Raw genomic sequence first — 22837 nt, 5'->3', positions numbered from 1 at the left:
CTTAAAGCTTAAGCTCTAGATCTAAACTGGTGGTTCTTAAACTTGAGTAGGCATTGAAGTCACCTGGAGCATTTGTTAAAACACAGACACTGGGGCTCAATCCCAGAGTCCCTGACTCTTTCCGTCTAGGGCAAGGCCCAAGAATTTGCAATTCCCCAGTGATGCTGATGTGCTGGTCTGAGTACCACACTTTGAGAACTAGCAGGACAAGCAGTACTGCTTCCCATACACAATAACTAAAGAAGCTGTTCAATAGTATGAGGTACAGAACTTTTAGGGTTCATTTCCAGCTGATTTCCCAGCTGGAATTCAAAAGAACAATGAGATATTATTGTCTATATGTTGGCAATAAAATGTAATTCAATTCAGCCAGTATCCTAGGAGCACCGACTATGTGTTGGAGTAATTTGCTCAGGATAACTGTCAAACAGAAATACACCACACTCAAGAATTCTTTCTGATCATTCAAACACTTAGGCAAACAAATAACCATGATACAATATGATAGCTGTTGTAATAGAGCACACACATACATTCACATGCACACACAATTGTTGGAGCACAGTTGAAGACGAAATAAATTCTCTTTGTGAGGAAGTAATAAATGCAATCTCAAGCAGTCAACAATGGGACTAAGAATTCAAGAAAGAAGAGTTATTTTCCAGGAAAACAAGTGGAGATAGGCATTTTAAGAAGGAAAAAAAAATCTTCAGCCTGCACACAAAGGGAAATGAAGAATAATGTAGCAAGATTCTTGTATCCAGTGTTCACCAGACACAAGAGTGAGTGAATACCCTGCCTCTCTCTAAAGTGGAAAGCAAACCTCACTACCACTTATTGAACATCTCCTAAATGCTAGACGTTGAGCTCAAAATCAGGCCACACTGATGATGCAGGTGCAATGCTTACCCTGCAGGGACTTGCATTTTAGATTATGCACATCAGCTAGGCAGACTGAATTGCAGTTAATATATTGAGTTACAAGTTATATCAAGCAAAATCTATTCATGAAAGTGATCCAGGAGTCAAATGACCTAAGACTTCACCTGAAAATCAAATGTTCATTTTATGAAATGATAGGTAAAAATTATTTTATATGCCAAAACAGGCTTGGCTTAGAAGACACATAATTCTTTCATTCATACTATATGAGCCAGCCCATAAACATGTTACTTTTTACCAGAAGAAACTTTCCCTTCTTTCCTAAGAAGCTAGAAGTAAGGGGCAGGCGTGGGAATACTTTCATCAAAAAAGCAGAATCTCATTGCAACAGCACAGCACAGCTCCAATTCACATCCTTTGGAATGGCTTCCAAACTAAGTAATTTAACAAACTGATGAAGAAAAAATGGCCCATTAATCTTATGCTGCATGTTATAATTTAACTCGGGTTTAGCATAGGAAAATATTTGCATTGATTAGAAATATGCTTTATGGGTGCATTCATTATAGACTCAAAACATTTTAAAATTATTGGCTGGGCTGACATGATGAACTACATAGGAGCACTACTAGATGGCATCTCAATGTCGTCTGCACCTCATGTCATATTGGGTGAGGAATAAATATATATTTTTACTCAATGGGCAATCTTATTCCAAACAGCAAAACATGTTCATTTCCATTCAGTTGTTGTAATCATGAAGCTATCAGCTAAATATTATGTGGATAACTTAGATGCAAGTAAATTCTTGTATTTACAATTCAAATATTCTTATGCCATTTTCCCACTTTGCTTAACCTAATATAATGGCCTGATCAATCTGATTAGGAGGACTTTTTAAAATTAACTTACTCAAATGCTCTGAGATAGATTCTGAAGGACTAAAATTGTGGTCTTTGGTATCCAACAAAAAGGGTTCAGACTTATCTCTTACTAGCTGTGTGATCTTGGCCAAATGACAGTATCTCTGAGCTTCACTTTCCTAATTTGTAAAATGAAAATAATAAGAGAATTTGAGTTGTAAAGTTGAAGAAAAAAATAAGTTTGGTAGTGTTCTTACCATATGGCAGAAAACAGCAGTTATTCTGATGGTCATTATTACAAGTGTGGTTGCTAAGATTATTGAAAACGTATTGTTTGTTCCCTGTTCAAAGAGCTAGAATCTTAAGGCAGCTTTCCATTCTTTTCCTTAATTTCACCCCTCAGATTCTGTCACACACTGGCAAAAACATATTGGCATTTTGGGGGAAGGGATCCACTGAGGCGACACTTTTGGTGTATCAAGTATATAAGGTATAGAAATCTTTGGAGTCTTTCTTTAGACTTCCATTTACTTTCCAGTAGATTGAGTGTTAATAATCGTCCTGTCTCCTGCTGTGGATAGCTGTGACCTGGTTCATCTATTGGCACCTTCTCTGGTTCATAGACAAAGAGCAAGAACCCAGAAAGAGCGGCTTTTCTTTTCTACTCCTATTGCTAAGAACCCTCTTGGATAAAGACAATCTTAAACAGATTATGAAATTGTTACTTGTTATAGGATCAAAGCAATGTCCCAACAAAGAGCACTGGCCTCTGTTTATTACACTTAGACTTCACTTGAGATACCTTTCCATCTCCTAGAGAAAATAGATGTTTCAATACCTTCCAGGCACTGGAATAATACAGCCAGGGCATCTCTACAACTGCATGTTTAATTATAGTGTTCCATCCAGATGAATGCTTTTCCATCAAGGTCAGACTGACTGACCAGTTGAAATGCTTGATTTTATCCTAAAGTCAGAATCGAGTAAAGCTGCTGGAAGCCTACCCAGTTTACATCCTATCTTCCCCACAAAACCTGCTCTGAGGATGCAAGTTGAAATTTTACTTATATGTGTGCACATGTGTGTATGCAATATATATGTGTATATATTTGTATATACATATATACACACATATGTATATATATACACCTATAGAGATGTATGTATATATTACAATTACAATGTATATATTACAATTAATTTGGCTTATTTGCTCCCATTCTAGCATTTTTAGGATAGAAACAATAGATGACATAAATCCCTTTTCTGCCACAATATAATATCACCTAAAGAATCATGTTTCATTAGCTAGAAGTGGGATTTGCTTTCATTATTGCAGTACATTTGATAATATAAAAATATTTCTGATGATTTTTTCTTATGTGAATTTCATAGCATCTTCATCTAAAATTTACTTTGGAGATTCAGACCAAATGTCATATCAATTTCCTAGACTGCTTAATATGTAATTCTGCTACAGATTTTAATCTCAATGTAACAAGGGGGAAAAGCAGAGAGAAATGAACTAGGTGTACTCAGGATCACTATCTGCTATTGAAATTTCCCCAAACCTAAGAGGTTTCATCTGTACATAGAAATATTTTCACCATGGAATGTATAGTGGTTGAACTTTTGAAGAAAAGTTGACTTATTGTCTAAAAGTTTTCCATTTGCCCTCTTCTAGGTTTGCACTCAAGACTGACATTTACCGTAATGGAAGCTGTTCATATGCCCCCAGGAAAGAATGAACAATTTAATAGAAAATGCTAAAGGAGTGATATTAGGTGAGCATCTCATGTCATCCGAAGAAAAACATAGGCAGATTTTCTACTCTTTACCTTATTTCCCACTTTATTTTCAGGATGTGGGGATAAAAATGTAGGGTCTGATGAATTTTTCAACAGCTTATAATTATTAGTGTTATTGTTAGAATACCAGAATATAACTAATAACCAAATGTAAAATGTTTGGTAAGGAAATTGCTTTATTAAAAATATAAATTGTGTGGGTGTTAGTAAATGTTAAAAGGAACTGACAATATAAAAGGCACAAAAATTGATGACTGTATTTCAAATGCTGAGAGGTGTATTTTTGTGTCTTTTTCTCTTTCTCCATCTTATTGAGCACCTATAAAACTAATGGCATATACTTACAAGATGGTGGGCATGTTTTGGATGCTCAGTTTATGTCTGTAGGAAAGAAAACAACACAAAGATAATTGCCTCAATTAGGTCAAATAAACGATGAGTTAGAGGCCGAATTAGGATTCACGTTATGAGTTTCTCAACAGTTACCAATAGAACCAATGACAGATATGAGAGTAACGCAATATATGCCAAGATACTTTAAAGTAATTTACTTTATATTAATATTATCTATTAAGACATCTTAGTTCAACCACACTCAGCTGCTCTACAATAACCCCAGAGCTTCTGAGTTACAATATGCCAGAAATAGGTAAGTGGCTCTGCTCACACAATATAATTCAGGCAGATCCAGTGTCCAGTCATTGTTGTTCTACCACCCAGTTGTGAGCTAGAATAACTTCCTTAATTTTTTTGACCCTCGAGGATATTGAAATAATATAATGCTTACTTCATTAGGTCATAGTGGAGATTAAAAAATGGTTATTAAGATGATATGCCCTTCATCTAGGAAAAAATCAATAAATGTTACTGATGCTATCGTCATCATCATCATCATCATCATTATCATCATCATCAAGGTCATGACAGAAAGAGGACACATTACATGAAATCTCAACTTCATCCCTGGGCCATGCACACCTGTAGCTAATTTTTGTATCTTTCTATTTGAGTTCGGGTTTCGCATCGTTTTGTCCCACACAACAGAAGCTGATCTCCAAAGAGAGGAATGATGTAGCCTCAAGTAACAAAGACATTGAGGGAAGTCTTTCACATCCTGGGATGCCTGTGGCCCAGCACAGAGGGCTGTTGGGTTGCCAACACAGAGTTTACCCCTCAGGTGTCTGTAATTGGGTAAAGAGAGGTGAAGTTTAGCATGTGATATGTAAAACGGGCAGCTACAAATACAATTCTAAAACAAGCAGAATTGGCTCCAATTCTTCCTTCTTTTTCCTCACTCTCAGATGCTCAGGAAGCTTTCCTGCTCTTGTCCCTGACAGGAATATATTATACCTTCCTGGATATGTAGGTGGATATCAAGAAAGTGCTTATTTGCAAGCAACAGGAGCCAGATACAGCTGATTTGAGCAGAAAATGATTTTTGAAAGGTTATTGATTAAGTTTCAGTAACTAGAAGCAGACTAAAGAACCAGAACTTAGGGCACGCTATCAAAATTATAGAATCATGCAAAATTAAGTGTATGTGCAGGCCTGCCTCGCTGACCCAACAGGAGCAGGATACGGGATGCTGACCCAGGCACTGCTGCCTCCTCAATTACTCCTGGAAGGGCTTCTCTGAGGTCCTTGCTTCCTCATATCATTCATTTCTAATTCAAAATATAGGACTTGAGTGTAATTGACCAATCCTAGGTCATCTGACTGTCTTCCAGTTTCAAGGAAGACTGATAAAGAGAAAAAAATTTAGACGAATGTATAACTAGAATAACCAATACAGAGAAGTGCTTAAAGGAGCTGATGGAGCTGAAAGCCAAGGCTCGAGAACTACGTGAAGAATGCAGAAGCCTCAGGAGCCGATGCAACCAACTGGAAGAAAGGGTATCAGTGATGGAAGATGAAATGAATGAAATGAAGCGAGAAGGGAAGTTTACAGAAAAAAGAATAAAAAGAAATGAACAAAGCATCCAAGAAATATGGGACTATGTGAAAAGACCAAATCTATGTCTGATTGGCCTACCTGAAAGTGACGGGGAGAATAGAACCAAGTTGGAAAACACTCTGCAGGATATTATAAAGGAGAACTTCCCCAATCTAGCAAGGCAGGCCAACATTCAGATTCAGGAAATACAGAGAACGCCACAAAGATACTCCTCGAGAAGAGCAACTCCAACACACATAATTGTCAGATTTGCCAAAGTTGAAATGAAGGAAAAAATGTTAAGGGCAGCCAGAGAGAAAGGTCGGGTTACCCACAAAGGGAAGCCCATCAGACTAACAGTGGATCTCTCGGCAGAAACTCTACAAGCCAGAAGAGAGTGGGGGCCAATATTCAACATTCCTAAAGAAAAGAATTTTCAACCCAGATTTTCATATCCAGCCAAACTAAGCCTCATAAGTGAAGGAGAAATAAAATACTTTACAGACAAGCAAATGCTGAGAGATTTTGTTACCACCAGGCCTGCTCTAAAAGAGCTCCTGAAGGAAGCACTAAACGCGGAAAGCAACAACCGGTACCAGCCACTGCAAAATCATGCCAAATTGTAAAGACCATCGAGGCCAGGAAGAAACTGCATCAACTAATGAGCAAAATAACCAGCTAATATCATAATGACAGGATCAAATTCACACATAACAATATTAACTTTAAATGTAAATGGACTAAATGCTCCAATTAAAAGACACAGACTGGCAAATTGGATAAAGAGTCAAGACCCATCAGTGTGCTGTATTCAGGAAACCCATCTCACGTGCAGAGACACATATAGGCTCAAAATAAAAGGATGGAGGAAGATCTACCAAGCAAATGGAAAACAAAAAATGGCAGGGGTTGCAATCCTAGCCTCTGATAAAACAGACTTTAAACCAACAAAGATCAAAAGACACAAAGAAGGCCATTACATAATGGTAAAGGGATCAATTCAATAAGAAGAGCTAACTATCCTAAATATATATACACCCAATACAGGAGCACCCAGGTTCATAAAGCAAGTCCTGAGTGACCTACAAAGACACTTAGACTCCCACACAATAATAATGGGAGACTTTAACACCCCACTGTCAACATTAGACAGATCAACGAGACAGAAATTTAACAAGGATACCCAGGAATTGAACTCAGCTCTACACCAAGCAGACCTAATAGACATCTACAGAACTCTCCACCCCAAATCAACAGAATATACATTTTTTTCAGCACCACACCACACCTATTCCAAAATTGACCACATACTTGGAAGTAAAGCTCTCCTCAGCAAATGTAAAAGATCAGAAATTACAACAAACTGTCTCTCAGACCACAGTGCAATCAAACTAGAACTCAGGATTAAGAAACTCACTCAAAACCGCTCAACTACATGCAAACTGAACAACCTGCTACTAAATGACTACTGGCTACATAACGGAATGAAGACAGAAATAAAGATGATCTTTGAAACCAACGAGAACAAAGACACAACATACCAGAATCTCTGGGACACATTCAAAGCAGTGTGTAGAGAGAAATTTATAGCATTAAATGCCCTCAAGAGAAAGCACGAAAGATCCAAAATTGACACCCTAACATCACAATTACAAGAACTAGAAAAGCAAGAGCAAACACATTCAAAAGCTAGCAGAAGGCAAGGAATAACTAAAATCAGAGCAGAACTGAAGGAAATAGAGACACAAAAAACCCTTCAAAAAATTAATGAATCTAGGAGCTGGTTTTTTGAAAGGATCAACAAAATTGATAGACCGCTACCAAGACTAATAAAGAAAAAAGAGAGAAGAATCAAATAGACGCAATAAAAAATGATAAAGGGGATATCACCACTGATCCCACAGAAATACAAACTACCATCAGAGAATACTACAAACACCTCTACGCAAATAAACTAGAAAATCTAGAAGAAATGGATAAATTCCTCGACACGTACACCCTCCCAAGACTAAACCAGGAAGAAGTTGAATCTCTGAATAAACCAATAACAGGCTCTGAAATTGTGGCAATAATTAATAGCTTACCAACCAAAAAGAGTCCAGGACCAGATGGATTCACAGCCGAATTCTACCAGAAGTACAAGGAGGAACTGGTACCATTCCTTCTGAAACTATTCCAATCAATAGAAAAAGAGGGAATCCTCCCTAACTCATTTGCTGAGGCCAGCATCATTCTGATACCAAAGCCAGGCAGAGACACAACCAAAAAAGAGAATTTTAGACCAATATCCTTGATGAACATTGATGCAAAAATCCTCAATAAAATACTGGCAAACCAAATCCAGCAGCACATCAAAAAGGTTATCCACGATGATTAAGTGGGCTTCATCCCTGGGATGCAAGGCTGGTTCAATATATGCAAATCAATAAATGTAATCCAGCATATAAACAGAACCAAAGACAAAAACCACATGATTATCTCAATAGATGCAGAAAAGGCCTTTGACAAAATTCAACAACGCTTCATGCTAAAAACTCTCAATAAATTAGGTATTGATGGGATGTATCTCAAAATAATAAGAGCTATCTATGACAAACCCACAGCCAATATCATACTGAATGGACGAAAACTGGAAGCATTCCCTTTGAAAACTGGCACAAGAAAGGGATGCCCTCTCTCATCACTCCTATTCAATATAGTGTTGGAAGTTCTGGCCAGGTCAATCAGGCAGGAGAAGGAAATAAAGGGCATTCAATTAGGAAAAGAGGAAGTCAAATTGTCCCTGTTTGCAGGTGACATGATTGTATATCTAGAAAACCCCATTGTCTCAGCCCAAAATCTCCTTAAGCTGACAAGCAACTTCAGCAAAGTCTCAGGATACAAAATCAATGTACAAAAATCACAAGCATTCTTATACACAAATAACAGACAAACAGAGAGCCAAATCATGAGTGAACTCCCATTCACAATTGCTTCAAAGAGAATAAAATACCTAGGAATCCAACTTACAAGGGATGTGAAGGACCTCTTCAAGGAGAACTACAAACCACTGCTCAATGAAATAAAGAGGATACAAACAAATAGAAGAACATTCCATGCTCATGGGTAGGAAGAATCAATATCATGAAAATGGCCGTACTGCCCAAGGTAATTTATAGATTCAATGCCATCCCCATCAAGCTACCAATGATTTTCTTCACAGAATTGGAAAAAACTACTTTAAAGTTCATATGGAACCAAAAAACAGCCCGCATCGCCAAGTCAATCCTAAGCCAAAAGAACAAAGCTGGAGGCATCATGCTACCTGACTTCAAACTATACTACAAGGCTACAGTAACCAAAACAGCATGGTACTGGTACCAAAACAGAGATATAGATCAATGGAACAGAACAGAGCCCTCAGAAATAACGCTGCATATCTATAGCTATCTGATCTTTGACAAACCTGAGAAAAACAAGCAATGGGGAAAGGATTCCCTATTTAATAAATGGTGCTGGGAAAACTGGCCAGCCATATGTAGAAAGCTGAAACTGGATCCCTTCCTTACACCTTATACAAAAATTAATTCAAGATGGATTAAAGACTTAAACGTTAGACATAAAACCATAAAAACCCTAGAAGAAAACCTAAGCATTACCATTCAGGTCATAGGCATGGGCAAGGACTTCATGTCTAAAACACCAAAAGCAATGGCAACAAAAGACAAAATTGACAAATGGGATCTAATTAAACTAAAGAGCTTCTGCACAGCAAAAGAAACTACCATCAGAGTGAACAGGCAACCTACAAAATGGGAGAAAATTTTCGCAACCTACTCATCTGACAAAGGGCTAATATCCAGAATCTACAATGAACTCCAACAAATTTACAAGAAAAAAACAAACAACCCCATCCAAAAGTGGGCAAGGGACATGAACAGACACTTCTCAACAGAAGACATTTATGCAGCCAAAAAACACATGAAAAAATGCTCACCATCACTGGCCATAAGAGAAATGCAAACCAAAACCACAATGAGATACTATCTCACACCAGTTAGAATGGCAATCATTAAAAAGTCAGGAAACAACAGGTGCTGGAGAGGATGTGGAGAAATAGGAATGCTTTTACATTGTTGGCGCAAGTATAAATTAGTTCAACCATTGTGGAAGACAGTGTGGCCATTCCTCAAGGATCTAGAACTAGAAATACCATTTGACCCAGCCATCCCAGTACGGGGTATATACCCAAAGGACTATAAATCCTGCTGCTATAAAAACACATGCACACGTATGTTTATTGCAGCACTCTTCACAATAGCAAAGACTTGGAACCAACCCAAATGTCCAGCAATGATAGACTGGATTAAGAAAATGTGGCATATATACACCATGGAATACTATGCAGCCATAAAAAATGATGAGTTCATGTCCTTTGTAGGGACATGGATGAAATTGGAAATCATCATTCTCAGTAAACTATCGCAAGAACAAAAAACCAAGCACTGCATATTCTCACTCATAGGTGGGAATTGAACAATGAGAACACATGGACACAGGAAGGGGAACATCACACTCTGTGGACTGTTGTGGGGTGGGGGAAGGGGGGAGGGATAGCATTAGGAGATATACCTAATGCTAAATGACAAGTTAATGGGTGCAGCACACCAGCATGGCACATGTATACATATGTGACTAACCTGCACATTGTGCACATGTACCCTAAAACTTAAAGCATAATAATAATAAAATAAAATAAAAAGACTTTAAACTTTACTTCTAAAAAAAAAAATAAAGAGAGTCAACTTTCCTTCACATTGTTTACATGTAAATGTGTCTGGTATTTTCAGTTTAAACAGTGGGAGAAAGGCACTGTCCCTCAACAAGACTCATAAAGTGAAAAGGTCCCCAAATATATAAAGGAATTTCAAATCAGATGTATGGAAGTTAAAAACAACAACAAATTCAGAGGTAGAATGATAGACATTTTGTAGTTAAAAATTATGTTTGGAGTAATTCTGACCTGAGTTCACGGGTTAAGCAAAGTACTCAATCTTGCTGATCCTCAATGTCCTCTGAAAAAAAAACTTGGAAGATAATATCTATATAAAATAGTGTAGTATAGATTAAATGAATTATATATACAAAGTGCTTAGGACATCCTAAGCATTTTATTAAACTGTTTATTATTATTATTATTATTATTATTGTTACTGACCAGTTAAATTACTGCAAGAATTAACAGAGTAATGATATATGTAACACAGTGCTAAACATCACATTTACCATCTCGCCTAAGCAGGTGTTCATTCAACAAATATTCTATATATCAGACAATAATTCATTAGTATTTTTTTACAGAAAAAAAATCATGAGGAATATGAAGCATAAACAATGGACCAGAAGTCACTCAATTAAGACATAATGGAAGTGAGATTCCAACCCAGAATTATTGAGCTTGAGAAACTATACTGTTTTCTTTTACTATTATTATACTTTAAGTTCTAAGGTACATGTGCACAATATGCAAGTTTGTTACATAGGTATACATGTGCCATGTTAGTTTGCTACACCCATCAACTCATCATTTACATTAGGTATTTCTCCTAACGCTATCCCTACCCCAGCCCCTCACTCCCAAACAGGCCCCGGTGTGTGGGTGTGTGATGCTCCCCTCCCTGTGTCCATGTGTTATCATTGTTCAGCTCCCACTTATGGTGACAACATGCGGGACTACACTCTTAACCATAACAATGTAGTACCCTTCAGATCGAATGTACAACATGGTGACTATAGTTAATAATACAGCACTGGTTACTTGAAATTTGCCAAGAGAGAAAATCTTAGTGTCCTCACCATACACACACACACACCCACACACACACACAATGGTAACTATGTGTGGCAATAGATGTGCTAATTATTTAGATTGTGGTAAACATTCCACAATGTATACATATATCAAATCATCTTGTGGTACATGTTGAATATATACAAATTTTAACTGTCAATTATATGTCAGTAAAGCTGAAAAGAAACTCAAACTAACTTGAAAACAAAATATAGCATCCATCAATATGTTAATAATTATAAAATACTTAATAGACTGGAGACCTTCAATAAGTGATATTTCTTGTAACTATTATTAGTTATTAATTGTGTGGCACTGTTTACTTGTAATGACAAGGATGTAAGATGAGGTTGCTGCTACAAAACTTCAGAGCCCCTGCGGGCATTTGTGGGGTAAACACAGAAGGAAATGAGGTCTCTCAATTTCCAACACAGAAACTCTTTAAGTTGGTTGGTCTTCATAATACCTCCCTTATAATAAGAAAATAATGCTTTTCCTACATTTGCACCGGACATGGGAATAAATCCATATTTCTGGGTGTGTGGTAGGAGGCAGGACTAGGCTTTGGGGGTCGGGCTTGGATACCTGACCAAATGATGGACTAGCTCAAACAGGTCAGGGTGGAAACACCTCCGCATAAGACACTCCCACCAATGTGCCATCTTGGTTTATCATTGCCATGGCAATACCCATAAATTACTGCCCTTTTTCACGGCAACAACCTGGACAACCCGGAAGTTACAACCTTCATCCTAGAAATTTCTGCATAAGTTGCCCCTTAATTTGCATATAATTAAAAGTGGGTCTAAGTATGACTGCAGAACTCCCTCTAAGCTACCTAAGCTGGGCACGCTGCCTAGGGGGTAGCCCTGCTCTGCAAGAAGCAGTACCTCTGCGGCTGCTGTAGGCTACTGCTTCAATAAAAGTCGTTGTTTAACACCACTGGCTTGCCTTTGAAATTGTTTCGTGGGTGAAGCTAAGAACCCTCTCGGGCTAAGCCTCAATTTGGGGGTCTGCCTGTCGTGCATCAGGTGTGTATAGAACCTTCACTTAAATTCTCATCTGCTCAGACTTATTATACTAAGAATGCTTTATTTCATTAATGCAAATTTTCCAGGGATAGAAATAATGTATATATGTGGAGTATTGGAAGAGTTCAAGAACATCACCACTCATCATTCTGCAGTCCTTAAAGGCATGTGTTATTTCTACCTCACATGAAGAAAACTGTGTCTGGCCGGGCGCGGTGGCTCACGCCTGTAATCCCAGCACTTTGGGAGGCCGAGGTGGGTGGATCACGAGGTCAGGAGTTTGAGACCAGCCTGGATAACATGGTGAAACCCTGTCTCTACTTAAAATACAAAAATCAGCCAGGTGTGGTGGTGGGCGTCTGTAATCCCAGCTACTTAGGAGGCTGAGGCAGGAGAATTGCTTGAACCCCAAAGGCGAGTGTTGCAGTGAGCTGAGATCATGATACTGCGCTCCAGCCTGGGTGACAGAGCAAGACTCTGTCTCAGAAAAAAAAATAAAGAGGAAAAGAAAATTGTGTCCAAGACAGTGTAGTGACTTGCCCAAGACTACACAGCTAGGTTACAAGAGAAAATAAAGGCATATTTAAATGGTCAAAATGGTGATGTTTTTTATAACTAAAAGATTGTGTCTAATCAAATTAAAATATTTAAAACTGTCCTAATATATTGTGAGGAATTCTTTATACTAACCTGAATGCACTAGTGTGTACAATATTTTAGAAATGATAAATAGGCTCTTTAACTTGCTGATCATACAAACCTACTTAATACTCCCAATGACAAGAAATTAACTACCTGATGAGGCAGCTTCTTCCATTTTTGGACAGTTCCAGGGGTCAAACATGATAACATCTCACTGCCTGCAATGTCATCTAGTTCTACCTGGAGAAATAAAACAGAACAGGTAGCTACTGTACTTGACAAATTGATATAATTTCATTTTTTCTAAATGTGAGTGCCAGATTCATTCATTGTACTGAATAGATCTGTCAAATGGCTCTGCCTATTTACCAATGGATGGCACACTGCAAAAACATGTTGGAATTTTAGAGGACTAAATGTCATCTCACTGATACTGTCATCAATATAACTTATATTGGCATTTTTGTCTCACACTGACTTTAATGGCTATAGGGGGAGTTCCATGTCTCCAGACCTTGTGCTGATGATCTCTGCCCTGCACAGTACGTTGCTGCTCATTTCCAGAAGAGACCAAGATAACTTCTCAGACTTCTCAAATCTACTTGCCCTACTTGACAACACATGTTGGCTGGGCTGACTGGATCAAGATTCTATAAGCAGGATCCTCACGGTTTCAAGTCCTTGCTGTTTTGGATGAGACAGAGGCTATTTCCTGCTCCCATAACCACTCACTTCTTGCTGTGAAGCTTTCCTAGGCTGTTCTTGCTAATACTAACAAAATTAATTATGCTTATCTGATGACAAGTATACAACCTAAAATGCCATCTTTATAAATAAGGCAATATTCAATGGAGTGTGATTTATGGCCTTTCATTTTTCCTATACACCCTATGTGCCATATAAAATCTGGCTTTACAGTTTCATAGAGGCTATAATCCCTTTCAGAGGGAATAAATCATTTCCAAACATAATATAAAATAAGGAGTTATATTCACATACTGGCAAAGGAAATAAATTGATTATAAAATGTAAGAGAGTGACTGATGATTTCTCCCTGTGTCTGAACTATTAAAGTGTTTTTGAATAGACTAGACAATATTAAAGAATTTCTATAAACATGAGATTATAATTTATAAATTAAAAAAGAAAAATTACATTGAAAACTATAACAAAATAATAAACATTATAATATATAAAAAGTTATTGTAAATCAATGTGAATAAATGCATAAAGGTCATAAAGTCACAAAAGAAGAAATACAAACAGTCAATAAATACATTAAAATAAGTTTAATCTCACAATTATTAACCAAAGAAATATAGTTAGAATCATGTAGGTCTCATGTTTTACTCAACAGAGTGGCACAAATGAAATAAATGGCTAATGCTGGTACTGTAGAGAGTGTGAGAATCTACACACGATGTTAAATTGCTGATAGAAAGGTAAGGTAGTGCAACTCTTCCATAGGCTCATACGTCAATATGTACTCAAATTGAAAAGTGGCCCTTCAATTTCTAAAAAGTCATTCTAAGGAAATGAATAAATGCAGGAAGACATATGCACAAAGATGTTTTTCTCATTTTTCTGTAGTACCAAAGAAAAGAGAGAGGTAAACCTAAATTTTGAGTGGCAGGAAACTGGCTACGTAAATAATGAAATGCTGCTGAGCTATTTAAGTTTGTGATATAGCCTTATTAAATGACATGGAATCATGCTCATTATATACTAATAAGCAAAAAAGATACAAAACATTTTTATAGTTTGGTCTAATAATTAAAAGTATTATATATTTGCTTGCATTGTGCCTGTGTGTACCCCCACAAACAAAAATATCTCAAGAATGTTATGAAGATCATTTATTGGAAATGGGATAATGGGATTTTAAGTTATTTATACTTTTTATTTTTTTTTTGGGAAACAAGGTCTTGCTGTGTTGTCCAGGCCGGGGGGCAGTGGTGCAACTATAGCCCATGGCAGCCTGGAACTCCTGGGCTCAAGCAAACATGCAGCCTTAGGCTCTGGAGTAGCTGGGACTAAAAGCTAATGCTACCATGCCTGGCTTATACTTTTTCTTTATGCCTTTTTAATTTTTGTAGTTTCCACAATGAGTTTATGCTACTTTTATAATTAAAAGTATTTTAATTTTCAACAAGAAGCTTTAGATTTCCCGAATTTTCCAATTACCCTGCAACATGGCTCAGAGTATTTGTACAAAAGAAAATCAGCCTTTTTTTCTGCATTAATTTTCCACAAATTCATCATTTGGAATTGGTAAAAGTTGTACAGAGTAAAACTGTTAGGGTCTAGGTATGCTATACCTTTCAAAGAATTGGAGATCTTGGAATAATTTCTTTCAGTTTTTACCACACTGATACTAAGGTGGATGAGAGGTAGAGGATGAAGGAAAACAGTAATCAACTGCAACCAGGAAAGATAACAGTGAACCACAGTTGGATTTATCTATATTTTTAAGGTGGACTTCCACAAGTTTCAGCTCATACTAATACACACACACACACACACACACACACACACACAATTCAATTGCCTTAGACTAATCGATCATTGTGGCAGAAATGAACACCTATTGACTAAACATTTTTAGCCCCTCCAGATTGTAGCAGTGTTGAGATAAGGCTTAGGATAGTATTCCCCATGTCTATGCATCTGAGTGTGGCCACATTACTGCTTACTGGCCCACAGAACGCTACCAGAAATTTTATAAGAATGTATATTTGATTTGCATTTCTCTAATGATCAGTGATGTTGAGTTTTTTTTCATGCTTGTTTGCTGCATGAATGTCTTCTTTTGAGAAGTATCTGTTCATGTCCTTTGCCCATTTTTAATGAGGTTTTTTTTTTCTTTAAAATTTGTTTGAGTTCCTTGTAGATTGTGGGTATTAGACCAAATGCCCATCAACAATAGACTGGATAAAGAAAATGTGGTACATATAAACCATGGAATATTATGCAGCCATAAAATGAATGATATAATGTCCTTTGCAGGGACGTGGATAAAGCTGGAAGACATTATCCTCAGCAAACTAATGCAGAAACAGAAAACCAAACACCGCATGTTCTCACTTATAAATGGGAGCTGAACAATGAGAACACATGGACACAGGGAGGGGAACAACACACACTGGAGACTGTTGGGGGGTGGAGTGAGGGAAGGGAGAGCATTAGGAAACATAGAAAATGCATGCTGGGCTTAATACCTATGTAATGGGTTGATAGTGCAGCAAACCACCATGGCACACATTTACCCATGTAACAAACCTGCACATCCTGCACATGTACCCCAGAACTAAAAATAAAAATTAAAAGAAAAAAAGAATGTGTATTTGAGGAATAATGAGTTTATAATTGAGCTTGCAATTTCCTGTCTCCTTTCCTTTTTGAGACAATGTACAGGCATATAATTGAAACGGTAGGCTCTTGAATCACTGAGCAGAAAACTGATTGCTAAGCCAGTGAAGTCCAAACTGAACTACAGAGTAACTGAGAGATAAACTTATAATAAATTATAATAACATACTGATTATAATAAACTTTTAATAAATTATTAGAAGCATTACACACATTGCTTACCTTTCAAGTTAATTAACATCGCTACCTTTTTTTGCAAAGGGAAGTTCTCCAAGCTTCTGGAGAAACCATAGCCATCTCCTTTTTCAGTTTGAGAGATGAGTCCAAATACGAGACGAGAAGGAATAAAGACACTGAGAAATGCTTTTGACAAAGACGAGTGAGAGATGGAATGCTGAAGGATTCTTAGTAATAAAGAATTCAGACAGGAGAAGTGGATGGGGTGATATCAAACAGATTTGCTCAAAGGCATTTTGGAAAGGAAAATTTGTGAAAATTTGGTGAGAGGGAAAAAAAATCAGATATAAAGGGGCTTTTGGTCCCTAAATGAATTTTTCTTCCAAAAGATTCATATTGTTTATATGTGAACCATAAGAATTCTCTGTCCACTTCTTCCAGAAGTTTCTAAAGCCCGCCAGGACATCTGCAGAGAAAGAGAATGTCATTCCAGGATAATCAACTGCAAGTTACTAAATTAAGATCAAAATATCCTCAACCTTGAACATTTTTCAAAGAGTTTTTAGAAGAAAGAGGCTCTCTAGGGGGTTGTATAATTATGTAATTGCACCCTTTGTAGGAGGCTATTTACAGATAAGTAATTTTTCCCCACTATTCAAGGTAAAATGCATAAAATAAAGTAGAATTTGGGGTTCTTTGTCGGGGAGACTGGGAATGAAGTCTGTGCAGACTCTGTGAGCCATCTGATTAATTACCCATTCTCCCCTCATTCCCTGCTATCAAAACCCTGATTGCCAAATCCCTAATATCCTCAAAACTAAGGTGGCCAGTTTAAAGCCCTAGCTAACGAGATCTAAGTGAGAGTCTGATGATGAGTTTTGGTAAATACTTTCTTTGCTCCACATCCCCTTTTAAATGTTCTTTCTTCTGGGTTAAACATTGGGAATGCAGCTGCAGATTCAGTAGCCGTCTTGCAACTCTCTTGTAACACAGTGACACACCAGAGGTGAGGGGACAGGAAGATAAGAGAACCTAGTCCCTCATGGATACCACTTAGTGGCTGAATTAACATAAAAACAATCTCCAAACTGTTACATGAGGAAAGTTAGGTAAGTAACTCTTATTCAGGTTCTATTATTGCAGGTAAACTCATTATAAATCGATACTGAATTCTAACCTCAGGTTCCCAGAATTCTTCCTAGCATCCCATAGTTATCCTCCTATTCTAGACTATTAATCATCAGATTTGCTTGAGGTAACTGTGTGGTGAGGTCTGGCTCTTTTAGAAGTCCTGATACTATTCACAACATCTTTTAAAAAATGGTAATATTTTTATGTCCACTCATCTTTCTAAAAATTACACTCAGAGGTCAGTTCCTCCAGAAAGCCTGGGCTGACAACATTTTACCCCTGTATATAAGCAGAATGATTAAGCAAAATAAGTAAAACAGAACAGGTAAGGGTGTAGTGTGTTATATCTTTCAAAATAAGAGAATAAATTTCAAATGTATCGCCACAAAACAACGTCAAGTAAGTGTGATTCCCTTGATCTAATCACTCCACTATGTTCATATATCAAAAACATCACACTGTATTCTATAAATGTAATACAATTATAATTTGTCAATTGAAAATAATATAAGTATAAAAGTGTGTGGGCTCTGGAATCAGACTTTCTAGATTTGAATTTTTAATCTACTACTTACTGGTTGTATGACTTGGGTAAATTAATTTATCTGTAAATTGGGGACATTAAGTAGGACTTACGTATCTTATTGAAAATATTAAATGAGGTAGTTCAATTAAAGTTCTTATAATCTTGCTTGGTTCAATAAAAATCTAGCTAGTTTTTAGACTACCTTTGGCCAATTTAGGGTAGAGGCCCTTTGCACTCCTATGGGTCTCTGTAAACTCATCTTTCATGAAACACACATCCTATACTGAAGGTATTTTCTGTAAGCAATGGGTTTTTAAAGTGTGGTCATTGGACCAGTGATAGCAGCACCTGGGAACTGGTTAGAAATGCAAATCTAGTAATCCAGAAACTCTGAGGGTGGAGCCCAACAATGTGTGTTTTAACAAACTTTCAGGCAGATCTGATGCAGACTTAAGTTTGAGGGCAATTGAAAACACCAATCTCAGAATCTCCTGAGAGCATTCAAGAAAAATATAGTTTCTAGAGCCTTACACCTGGAGAAGGGGCCCTGGAACTTGCCTGCTTGGCATGCTTGCCATGTGATTCTTCAGCACATTGATGTTTGAGAGCCTTTGCTATTTTATTAGTGCGTGATGTATTGGTCCATTTCTCAAGTGGAATTTTCTTCCATGTCTGAGAGGATGTGTTGTTGTTTTTGTATTATTATTATTATTTTATGTTAATCTCTTAAATATCTAGTGCATGCTGCAGTCCCAGACACAAAGCATTTGCTCATTAAACTAGATGTCCCTAAAATCTTAGTAGAGTTTCAAGATCAGTTTCTTCAGAAGAAAAAATACTACACACACACACACACACACACACACACACACACACACGCAAACACATAAAAAATCACCCTTTGAAAGTCTAATCATTTGAATTTCTTGGTCACTTATTTAGTTTTGATAATTTTGAATAATACATATTTAGTTACAACTTTTTGGTCTTTAAGTCAATGTTTGCCATCTTCAATCAGAAGGACAGCAACAAACAAAGTACAATTAAATATTGATTTTTCAAAATCCACAAATGTAAATACAAAGAGAAATTTAAATAATTAAACTTTCAAATGATTTTTGGGGGGCATGTTTGTAATTTCACACTTCTGAAGCTATTAAAGATTAAAACTGGACTAAGACATTTGGGACATGCTGTATTGGTCTTAAATGAATGGAATTTTGCTGTGGAAGGTGGAAGAAATATTTTCTTCAGCAAATATATCTGTAGATAGAGTTGTAACCACAGATCTGTAAAAAAAAAAAAAAGTAAGTTATTGAGTTAAATCTGATCAGCTACTTTCCTGCTTATGTGTATACAGAGCTACTAACAATTTCATTTGTAATTTACTAGCAGAAGTCATATGTGTGTGTGTGTGTGTGTGTGTGTGTGTGTGTGTGTGTGTGTGATATCTGTGTAGGTATATGTGTATATATATCCTCAATTTAAAATTTTTCATGTCCATCTATATGAAAATTTTTTAATTGAGGAAATTATATCCAGTGGCCTATTTTCTTCCCGATGAATTATAAACGAACACCATTTTCTACTCATACAAGCGGAATGTCAATCTACCTCATGGGCCTATCAAAGAGCGAATTTGAAAAACCACTGGTTTAGCCAGTGATATGGTTACTAGGTGATGCTAGGCCCCATTGCCACTGTTAAAAGCTTATCCATAAGCGAGATGAGAAGGCCCTTGCTTGGCATGTAAAAGCAGGAGTAGCAGGGGATGGCAGGTAGCTGCAGGTTGATGACACATGATGTGTCTACATATCTATATAGAACCATGAAGTCCATGAACATACCCACTTTTCATAACAAATCCAAAGCTATTTTATCATCAATCCCAGTCAACAATAGTAAGATCCAAGTGTGCTGCTGTATCCTGGCGTCAAGGTGCCTATGAATTAATGTGAGTTTGTCTTGGTTTTGACACTGTGGAATCAGCTAGGCTCCCTGCATCAAACCCCTCCGTATAGCAGGCAAACCAGTACCAGACTTCTCTGCCTGCTGTGGGAAGTTTAAAAAAGAGAAGCTCACTAACATGATGCAAGTGCTGAGAAATGCCTTTGCACATAGTAGATACTCAATATATTTTGAATGAATGGATTTATTTATTAATGTCATAAAACAGCCCTCCATCCATATTAAGGAAAATTCCATTCAATTGGCTGAAATTCCTCCACACACTCCTCACCTCCTGTAAGCTTGCAATCAGACAAAGACTTCATTACAAAAAGAGCTGAGGAAATTATAGAAGCTACTTAAAATTGTGTCACCTTCGTAGGGTTACACAACTTCAATTTAGTGGTAGGCCGGGGTTGGTGGCTCATGCCTGTAATCTCAGCACTTTGGAAGGCTGAAGCAGGTGGATCATCTGAGGTCAGGAGTTTGAGACCAGCCTGGCCAATATAGTGAAACCCCGTCTCTATTAAAAATACAAAAATTAGCTGGGCGTGGTGACGGGTGCCTATAATCCCAGCTTCTCCAGTGGCTGAGGCAAGAGAATCGTCTGAACCCAGGAGGCGGAGGTTGCAGTGAGCCGAGATGGTGCCACTGCATTCCAGCCTGGGCGATACAGCGAGACACCTTCTCAAAAAAAAAAAAAAAAAAAATTAGTGGTAAAAACCTCTGACTTATCAGTCACATTGACCTGAGTTCAAGCTCTACCATCATCATATTTTAACATGAGTATATAGGCACTTCAAAGCTCTGCTCCATGTGTGCACTATGGGGGTCATAATAACATACATTCTCACTGTATGACTCTCAAAAAACTTGGATGAAACAATCCATTTGCCACAGCCAGCAAAGTTTCTTACACCCAGCAAGCACTCAAGGCATTAGCTAATATTAACTGGGGAGAAGCAAACAAACAGGAAAGCCCAAGGCCCTGACTCCTACCCAGTGGCCCTTGATTCATGCCATAATAATTTTTTTTTTTTTTGAGATGGAGCCTCGCTCTGTCACCCAGATTGGAGTGCAGTGGTGCGATCTCGGCTCATTGCTACCGCTGCCTCCCGGGTTCAAGCGATTCTTGTGCCTCAGCCTCCCGAGTAACTGGGATCGCAGGTACCCGCCGCCATGCCCGGATAATTTTTATATTTTTGGTAGAGATGGGGTTTCACCATGTTGGCCAGGCTGGTTTTGAACTCCTGACCTCAGGTGATCCACCTGCCTTGGCTTCCCAAAGTGCTATGGTTACACGCGTGAGCCACTACGCCCGGCCATGCCATAACTTTCTTCCATTCAACCTACCAGCTTCCCATCAAGACTGAGTAGAGAAAGATGAACAAATTGAGATTAAACCCTTTTAAGATAGTCTGTAAGTAAGAATGAATAAAATTATAAAAATATAACAATTAATGAGTTCTGCAAAAATATGAGAGAACTCCAGTTCTTTATGTTACTTTTCTAGAAAACCAATTTATGGTTCTAAGATGCACCTCCCCACCCTACTTCACCCCTGGCATGATCAAATAATATTTTTGTAAATGGATAAGTCAACGACATAATCAATAAGCTAAGTTATAAGCAGGTAAAAATGTGTAGGCTTGATAAAGAAAACTCAGGTGATTGGTCTGTTCTCACACTGCTAATAAAGACATACCCAAGACTGGGTAATTTATAAAGAAAAGAGGTTTAATTGACTCACAGTTCCACACGGCTGGGGAGGCCTCACAATCATGGCAGAAGGCGAATGAAGAGCAAAGCTACACCTTACATGACAGCAGGCAAGAGAGCTTGTGCAGGGGAACTCTCGTTTATAAAACCATCAGATCTCGTGAGACTTATTCTCTACCAAGAGAACAGTATGGGGGAAACCACCCCCATGATTCAATTTACCTCTACCTGGCCCCGCCCTCAGCACATGGGGATTATTACAATTCAAGGTGAGAGTTGGATGTTGCGGACACAGCCAAACCATATCATCAGGCTTATCAACACATGTTAAAATAAGGTAATATGAAATAATCTAAAAAAAAAAAAAGTGCAGAACCAAGACCTCTGTGATAATCCTATTTAAAAAAATAGCTACAATTTTAGTTAGAATGTTTCCCTTATGAGAAAGCATTTTCTGCATAACTTTTAATGTACTGTTGATAAGCACAATTCAACAAAACTGAAATAAATATTTGCAGAAGTCCTGCCAGATGAAAAGCATAGAGTTAGATGCTATAGAGGATAATTCTACCTCAGGATGAGTAAGACCCCACACTTGACCTCAAATAAATTAACTTTAAATAGAGTGGATGAGTCATGTGTAGAATGTAAGAATACTAAGAGGTCAAGGTAACTAACAGAAAGGAACATGTGGGGATTCTTAAGAAGGAAATAAAATATTAGTTGATTCAGGAAAGGCTGAAAGGAGTAAGTTTTCCTTGAATGGTCTTTGAAGAGGTCCCCTTCACTACCTCCTAGTACTGAGGCTAGGGTGTCATAGGGAATAGAAAGATATGGAAATCAAGAAGCTTCTCTACTCTCACAGGAGTGGCTGAAAGAAAAATTTCTTACCAGGATATAGTATAATAACATTCAAGGGTTCATGAAGTCAGAGAGACAGGGGCTTGAATATCCTAGCTCCGTCTCTCTCACTAATGGT

The 22837-nt window shown here is 37.5% G+C and overlaps 1 protein-coding gene and 1 long non-coding RNA gene across 8 annotated transcripts in view; one reads left to right on the top strand and one right to left on the bottom strand.

Annotated features, from left to right (window-relative positions):
* GRM7 (glutamate metabotropic receptor 7) overlaps positions 1–22837 on the bottom strand; it is an 880419-nt gene that overhangs the window by 844085 nt on the left and 13497 nt on the right. The window lies entirely within an intron of this gene.
* Positions 3432–4812, top strand: GRM7-AS2 (GRM7 antisense RNA 2). The gene is made up of 2 exons (NR_131906.1): positions 3432–3529; positions 4401–4812. It is a non-coding gene; the product is annotated as a GRM7 antisense RNA 2 (long non-coding RNA).

Source organism: Homo sapiens, chromosome 3 (assembly GCF_000001405.40).
Source record: "Homo sapiens chromosome 3, GRCh38.p14 Primary Assembly".
In the NCBI taxonomy this organism is placed as follows: Eukaryota; Metazoa; Chordata; class Mammalia; order Primates; family Hominidae; genus Homo; species Homo sapiens.
Note: the sequence above shows the minus strand (reverse complement) of the source record. Positions and strands in the feature narration are given on the sequence as shown.